We start from the raw sequence: 8,269 nt of genomic DNA, 5'->3' as shown, positions 1-8,269 counted from the left end.
CTTGATGAAATCTTGCATCCTTCTGCTTCATCCTGCCGGGGACATGAATCATCCCTTTGTCCTGCGGACCCCCGCTGTCCCTGCACGTTAGTCACTCCGTGGCCATCTGGGTGATCAGATCGACTGTCACGGCATCCCAGTGCTTGTGTTCAAGGAATCCTTACTTATTTACTTAAAAATGGCCCCAAAGCACAGGAATAGTGACACTGCAGTATATTGTTTAATTATTCTATATTACTAATTACTTACTCTGCCTAATTTATAAATTAACCTCTATCATAGGTATGTCTGTGTAGGAAAAACATAGAATAGATAAAGTTGAGTGCTATCCATGGTTTCAGACATCCACTGGGGGTCTTGGAATGTATCCCCCAAGAATAATGAGGGGCTGCCATGCTATACCCCTCACAGCACATACGCTAATGCCCTTTAGCAATTACCATTTGTTATGGGTTGAATTGTGTTCCCTGGCCTCCCCCCAACCCCCACCATATTTATATGCTGAAGTCCTAACCCTCAGTTTCTTAGAATGTGACCTTACGTAGAAATAGGGTTGTTGCTGATTTAATCAGTTAAATTAAGATGAGATCAGATTATTATTTCTGTCCCAAATTAACCTGGGAGTTCCAACTTGCACCTTTGAGCTGGCGTCAGCATGGCACTGGACTCAAAGGAAATACAAACAAAACCCCCAAATCCTTGAAAAGGCACATTTATCCCCAGTAGGGCTTCCTAAGGATTAAGGAGGTTATTCAACGTATCAAGCAGCAAAACTTTGCACAACTTTCCGCAGACAGGTCTGCCAGTCCACAAAGTCCCAGGGGACAGGTGGCTGCTCGACCTCTCCTTCTCTTCTCAGTTGTGGTCTTTTTGTCTTCCTCTTGCTCCCTCTATCCCCATCCCAGACTCTCTGCGACAGGCCGTTAGCCTCATGTTCCCATCCTTCCCTGCAGTGCCCTTCCACGGGGGAAGGTGCACTCACACCCTCTGCATGCAGCAATTTCCTGTGACTTGTTTTGGCCAATGATATGCGGGTGGGGGTGGCGATGTTAATGAGCAGGATGGGCCTATCTGGAACACCCTGTGATATTTGAAGTTGGCTACAAAAATTGATCAAGGTCCTCCCTGTTTAAAACCTTTCATAATCCCCCGTGGCTCTTTGAGCGTGGAATGAAATCCCATCCGGAGTCGTCCAGACCCTGCTGGTCCAGCCCTGCCAAACTTCCAACTCCTCATGTACCACATCTCCCCGCTTAGTCTGCTTTCAGCCCTGCCAGCCTCCTGCCCCTTGAACCTGCTCTGTTCACACCAGCCACAAGGTCTTTGCACACACCTTTCCCTCTCCTGGAAGGCTTTCCTCTCCCTGAGCCTCGTTCACATTTGTATCCTCCCACCGTAGGCGTAAGCATCACTGGCTGGATCCAATCCCCCTGCAGAGATGTCTCCCCAGAGCAGGTAAGGCAAAAGCTGCACAGAAAATTCCTTAGGAGCTTTCTACTTAGAGATCCACATGTCATCTCTTGGGAGGGCCAGCCCAGAAAGAGTGAGGGGCTCCGGGCCCTAGAGTGGTCACTGAGTGTGAGGCCCCCAGCCATGACCTCTCCCATGCTCTACTCCCCTGAAGAGCTGAGCTCCTCATGAGGTAGCTGCTTTTAGGGTCAGTGTCCTACCAAAAACATGCATGAAAGCTTTCGAGTTTGCTTAAAGGGCAGAGGGACTGACAGGATTGGAGGGAGGGTCCCCTGTGCCATTCTGCCATGGGGCCCAGCAGGTCTCTCTCTCTCTCTCTCTCTTTCTCTCTCTCTGTGGAATGCACATGGCGAGTCTCTGTGAGGTGAGCACTTGTGGGATGGCCTCTGTCACATCCCCTCTGCAGCTTCTCTTATGGTTGCAATTTGGCATTTATCCCCATGGTTATTTGATCAATGTCATCTCCTTTATTAGTCTGCGAGCTCCATGATTCTACGTCCTCAGCCCCTAGCACTGAGCCTGCATATGGCGGATGCCCGGTGAACATTGGCTGAATCAATGATTCACAGTCTGACTTCAGCTCTCAATGTGAAGAATCCAGGCATAGAGTAGTCTGCTTGGGGGCCAAGCAGAGCAAGGGGAAGAGAATAATCAACCATCCCTCAAAGACCCTCAACCTCGATGAAAATCAATGAAAGTGTAATATAAAGGCAGACAGAAAATTTGGGTGGATGGATGGGCAGACAGATGAATGAATGGGTGGATGGATAAAAGGGAGATAAATTGATAAACACAGAGAAGCAGAGGCTGAATCTCGAGGTAGAAACATACAGAGAAGCATATAGAGAGATATCTTTGTAGGCATGCATAATCCACTGATGGAAAAACATAATGCAGCTTGCATTGGGTGCCATGTAAATTTGTTCCCAGAGAAGTCACCGAAGAGTTTCTTTGCAGAAAATTGCTAATCCCATTGTGATTTCCTGGTTAAAGAAAAGGTTAGACAAACACTCATAGAAATAGGCCCTTTCACTGAGGGGCAGCTCAAGGAGGTGTTCTTTTCTTCTTTCCTTGCTCTGGTGGCTCCTGGGAATTCCACCTTGGTTTAATTTAGAAACAAAGTCTTTAGCTCTTTCTCTGCTCACTCTTTCCACTCTCTCTGTCCCCTGTAATTGGCAACATGTGTCCATATCCAAAGCAGACCCTACCCTCAGGAAGGGGAATGATGCAGCCTCCAAGTCTTGGCCTTTCCTGAGCTTGCCACTGGGTTGCTATCTTGTAGTGGAATCTACCATTGGAAGCCCATCATCTGCTCTTCTCTGCTCCTAGTAAAAAGTGCAATAAATGTCTCTGGGACCTCCCCTCCCCCACTCTAAGCTCATTACATCGAGAGTGCCTCAAGGCTTCCATGATTGGTTCAGGGTCACTCAGTGACCCAGGGATTGAGCCACCCAATTAAAGTCAATAACACATGCAGAGATGTTTGCTGCGGCTATCAGCTCCCTCTCTTTTATCAGATGTTGGTGAGCATGTGAGATCCGTAGCTGCTGCTGCCATTTTGTAAGCCAAGACGCCAATCTTAGTGACATTGTTCGAATCTGGAATTGAGCTGCATCTGATGCCACTGGGTGAACTCACACTTTGCTTTTAAATCAAGTCAGACTGTACTGAGTTTTCCATCACTTGCTGTCAGTAGTGGACACTGTTGGTTGTTCAGTGAACATTCCCATTCTTCCTTCTTCCTCACTGAGAATGCTCATTAACTTCAGGTAGCTCCTCCTCAGGAGAAGCGACCCTACTCCCAGCTCAAGTGTGAATCCTGATCTGTGTAAGTCAGTTGTGGCAATCCCACTCTACTAAGCAGTGGGTTCCAGGCATGAGAATTTGAGGCAATTCCAGCCAGTGAGACATGAAGGGAGGCTGCCTAGAGGCTCATGGGAACATCGCCTTGCTCACTTGGCCTCTGGAAGTTGTGGTGTTGGGATGAGATGCAGAAGGGTAAGGCTGCCACCATCATGGACCATGAAGGGGCCCAGCCCAAGGGAAGTTGAGCCGAACCTGTCAGTCCACTGTTCTGTGGTTTCTCCACCGAGTTTCTGTGCCGGGGAAGAGGTCCTCTCTGATTCCCCCTTGCACCTTCACCTTTCGGCCTGCATGGGGCAAACCTGGCTTCAAACAGCCCTTTCTTCTCTGCTGCTGCCTTGAGACATATTGAAAAATATGTTCAATTACCTAAGAAATCCGTGATCATTATAGATCAGGGCTGTTACACAGAATGTTCTGGGACGATTGAAGGGTTCTAGTCAGCACCATCCAGTTCCATAAACCAATTGTCACATGTGGCTGCTGAACAATAGAAATGTAAATAGTGTGATTGAGGAACTAAATTGTTAATTGCATTTAATTTTAATTAATTAGAATTTAATTGTCACATGTGGCTGGCCACTACTGTATTGGACATCACAGAACTAGAACAATTAGAATGGTAGAAATAAGCATAAAAGGAAAAATGAATCATTCCTGATACCTCTAAGACACAACTAATATTAAACTCTTGATTATGTTTTTGCACGTTTTATCCTATGCATGTATATCCACTACCAAGCCTCTTTCAGTAATACATAAGGCTTAAACTTTATTTTCCCACTAATATATTGTGAACATCTTTCTATCTCACTGGATACATTTCTAAAGAACATAGAACAGGCCGGGCGCAGTGGCTCACGTCTGTAATCCCAGCACTTTGGGAGTCCAAGGCGGACAGACCACAAGGTCAGGAGATCGAGACCATCCTGGCTAACATGGTGAAACCCCGTCTCTACTAAAAATACAAAAAATTAGCCAAGCTTGGTGGCAGGCGCCTGTAGTCCCAGCTACTCGGGAGGCTGAGGCAGGAGAATCACTTGAACCTGGAAGGTGGAGGTTGCAGTGAGCCAAGATCACGCCACTGCACTTCAGAACAGAGTGAGACTCTGTCAAAAAGAAAAAAACAAAACCAAACAAAAACACTCCATCTCCTCTAAATGGCCACATTTAGCAGGTATGTAATTGTAGCCACCTTCAAATAAAGAAATCACTTAGTTCTCTCTAAGAAATCCCAAGAATCTTAATACTTAATCCAGCAGCCATGCTGAGTTTAGAAAAAAAAGTAGGAATTTAAACTTTCACGTGAAGTTTGAGTTTGACTTGAAACATTTAATTCATTTAAAAATAGAAATGTAAATGGAATCTGTATGTTTTCCTCCCTGCTGTCAGGAGCTCTCTTCTGCTCTGACTGACTCATTAACAAATTAACATGTTGTGATTCTGCTGTGAAAAGTTGCAAGATAATTGTTACAGCCACAGTCCTGAGGCTCCAGCGCTGTGCTTCCCAAACTCTTTTATAGAGTACAAATTAGATGCTTTTCCTATATGCTATCTAAATTTAATTAAAATTTGCCCTGAAGCTATGCTTAACAGCTTTGAAGTTACTGGAGTTTTGTCATCTTGGGGTGGTGAACATTTGCAGCTGCTAATGTCAAAATCTGTACCCATGGAAACCGTTTTCCCACTGCTTCTTCCCAGGACAAGCTCAAATCTGCTGGGGTTTGATTTCAACTTGGTTCAAAAATTATTATCTATGTAGAGAAGGAGTGTGCTTCCATGGACAAAGTTGAGGTTTGGAGACTGTAACTGAGAGACACGGAGAATCCTCTCAAAGCTCTCTGATGAAGGGGAAGGTTACAGCCCCTTTGAATGTTTAATTTTTCTTCATCTATAAAATAAAAATCATCACCATTCTGTGTCCTGCTCAAATGGCTAAGTCACTCAAGATTTTGAAATTTAGAAAGATGAAGAAAACTGTTTTTCGAAGACTGAAAAAAAAAGAAAATTGTACCAGCTCAGCCCTGTGACCGAGGCATGCTGCCAAGTTTCATCTGTTTGTTTTAGCAAAGGTGTTTTGAAAGTTACATGGAAAAAGTAGTCAGACCATGAGGTCCTTGAGGAGCCCCGGGAAAGCACTGGTAAGTTGGAACAAATGTTACAGATTCCCTCCAAGGTTTCATTGAGGGTGTCTTGGAAGCTTTTGGGGTCATACTCCCCACCCCAGGGAGATTATATAATTGGGCAAAAAGTCATAATTGCCCACGCTCTGCCAGGATCCTGGTAGTTGAAGACACGGACTCAACTATCTCAACATAAGGTAGCCCAGAACCATGCAGAGATCACCCAGGCCAGCTTGGAGGCCCTGCTTCTGCCTTGGTCCAGGCCTGTGGTATAATAATAGCATTTCCTGGGCTTTTCTGGGGAGATTTTATCAACATTGGCAATGACCCGAGGGCAACAGATGGGAGGCTCTCTAAAAGCAACAAGTACTATCGTCCTTGCAGTGTGAACCCACAATGCATAACTCTGAGGCCACAACCACACACTACATGTAAGGGGAAAATTAAGTTCCAGAGAGCTCACTGATGATGGGACCACTCACCAGGAGAACAGCAAGGTCTCCTCTTGACTCGCAAAAGAGATGGCAGATGCCATCATTAAAGAGCTCACAGAGTCCTGTGAGTTCCCTGTGTCCTGCCAATAAATTCCCTTTTCCTTACATCAGCTGGTCAGTTTCTGTTGCTTGCACCCACTAAACCCTGGTGATTTATACCACGTGAAGAATTTCGCAGCCCAGTTACAAACACTGGGTCCTGTGTGCAGCCACAGTGAAGGCCTGCCCTCTGTCCAAAGCTAGAGGTAATCAGGGTGAATAAAGGCTTGTGTGTTGGAATGTGTGAAGGGGTTTGTCATGGGGTCAGGGGGCTATAAAAAGCATGATCTACTCCTAGCCCTTCCCTTTCTGTGTCGATGGTTTCCACCTTGTAATGGATGCATGCTGTCCGTCCAGCATCCTTCCTTTGGGAAAATGCATCTCCTCCGTTCCCTGTGGTTGAGGTAGCACTGAGTTGAAGGAAGGATAATTTTAACCCAGACTCCAAGGCCCTGAATTTTCCATCCACATCAGTACCTGCACTTTTAGATCATGATTTGGCTGTCTGAAGTCTCCATGTCAACAACTTGGAGTTTTCTCCTCCAGTAACTGATTGGAGCAAGCCGGGGCTCTGGGCATCAACACCATCTGCGGAAGCATCATAAGACCCACACTTTCCCTCCTCTCATGGTCCAGCCAGAGATCCTGCTTCTGATTGGCCCCCTCCCATTGGGCTGTGACGTCAGAGCCAGGGGCCCCCTTCTCACTGGCTTACTTACCCTTAAGACGGGGGCAAGTTGGCTGACTATTGGCCAAATTGCTTCATATTACTGCGAAAGAGTCGTTTAACAAGAGTAGAAATCAACAGAGTTCCACCGCCAGGGAGTTGAAACCCCTACAGCGTTATCTCGGATTCATGGTTCCTATGAGGCCAAAACACACTGAACTGACACATCCACATGAGGAGATCTTTGCTTCTCCTTTTCAAGGGAACTCAACTGAATTACACTGGGCAATTTTCAATACCCACGTGCCATATTGGTTTCCCAGGGTTTCTGTAACAAATGACCACAAACTGGGTGGGTTAAGACAACAGAAATGGATTCTCTCTCCGCGTTTTCTGGGGCCAGAAGTCCAAAAGCAAGGTGTCGGCAGGGCTGCGGTCCCTCTGAAGGCTCCAGGGGAGAATCTGTTCCTGGCCTCCTCCAGCTCCCAGTAGCTCCTGGCATTCCTTGGCTTGTGGCCGCCTCATACCCATCTGTGCCTCAGCCTTCACATGGCCTTCTTTTCTCTGTCTCACTGTGTGTCCTTTTTGGTCTTATAGAAGATCACCCTCATTGGATTTAGAGACCACCCAAATCCAGTATAATCTCATGTTGATCTTTACCTTATCTACATCTGCAGCGATCCTATTTCCAAATCAGGCCATATTCTGAGGTTGCAGATGGACATGCATTTTGCAGGGAAACTGTTCAGCCCACTACACAAGTGGGCACTGGCTTTACCTTATCCCAGCTTCAAAGCCAGGGTCATTGTGAACAGACTTCTAAGAAATGTTCTCTACCCTCCCACAGCACCTAGTAGGAGGCACCCCATGGGAGTCCAGGAGAGGCCTGTCTGGTGATTCAGTGGTTTCCATGCCCCTCAGCTAAGTAGCTGATTATGTACAACAAGGATCTGCAAACTCTAGCCCCTGGGCCAGCAGCCTGTTTTTATAAATAAAGTTTTATTGGAACATAGACTCATCCATTCATTTCCATATTGTTTATAGTTGCATTCATCCTACAAAGGCAGCACGTGTTGACCGGCTGGAGTGAGACTCTATGGACCACAAGCTTAAAATGCCTGCTGCATGACCCATTACAGAACAGTTCCCCAACCCCTGATGTGGAAGAATGAAAAATTCTCTCAACCCAGCAGGTGTGTCAGAATTTTTCTAGGGTAGATAATTGGGAATTAGGAAAATACCCCAATAAATATTCAAGGATGAAGAGGCCAGTACCCAAAGAAAGTGTCAGAAAGACAAGACACTTGAATTGATTAGGCTTAGCTAGATTTAACTGTTTTAGAAACAAAGCTGGCGGGGAAGAGCCAGGAGAGGGAGACAGGGGACGAAGCTGGGGCTCCAACTGGTAGAAATGGCAAATAAATTTTTGGCAGAACACTCTTTCTTTTGAAGTCACCCATGTTGCAGCAGAGCGACCCTCTGTTTTTGCCTAAATTTTCAGCCATCAACTGTAAACAGCAGCAAACACAGAGGCCTTGTGGGAGCCTGAATTGGAAATCAAGGGAAGGGTCTGGGTTCCACAGCCAGATGCCGCCAGTTGAGGGCCAGCAAAT

General features: G+C 46.2%; 1 annotated feature.

Moving 5' to 3' along the window:
* Positions 570-1,069: an enhancer, noted in NCBI's record as "H3K4me1 hESC enhancer chr20:55604837-55605336 (GRCh37/hg19 assembly coordinates)". NCBI's record gives its function as "activates a minimal SCP1, AML or CMV promoter by ChIP-STARR-seq in naive H9 embryonic stem cells {active_cell/tissue: H9 hESC(naive)}" and the evidence as "EXISTENCE:reporter gene assay evidence [ECO:0000049][PMID:30033119]".

Source organism: Homo sapiens, chromosome 20 (genome assembly GCF_000001405.40).
Source record: "Homo sapiens chromosome 20, GRCh38.p14 Primary Assembly".
NCBI classification, from domain to species: Eukaryota; Metazoa; Chordata; class Mammalia; order Primates; family Hominidae; genus Homo; species Homo sapiens.
This window is presented reverse-complemented; position numbering and strand designations above follow the sequence as displayed.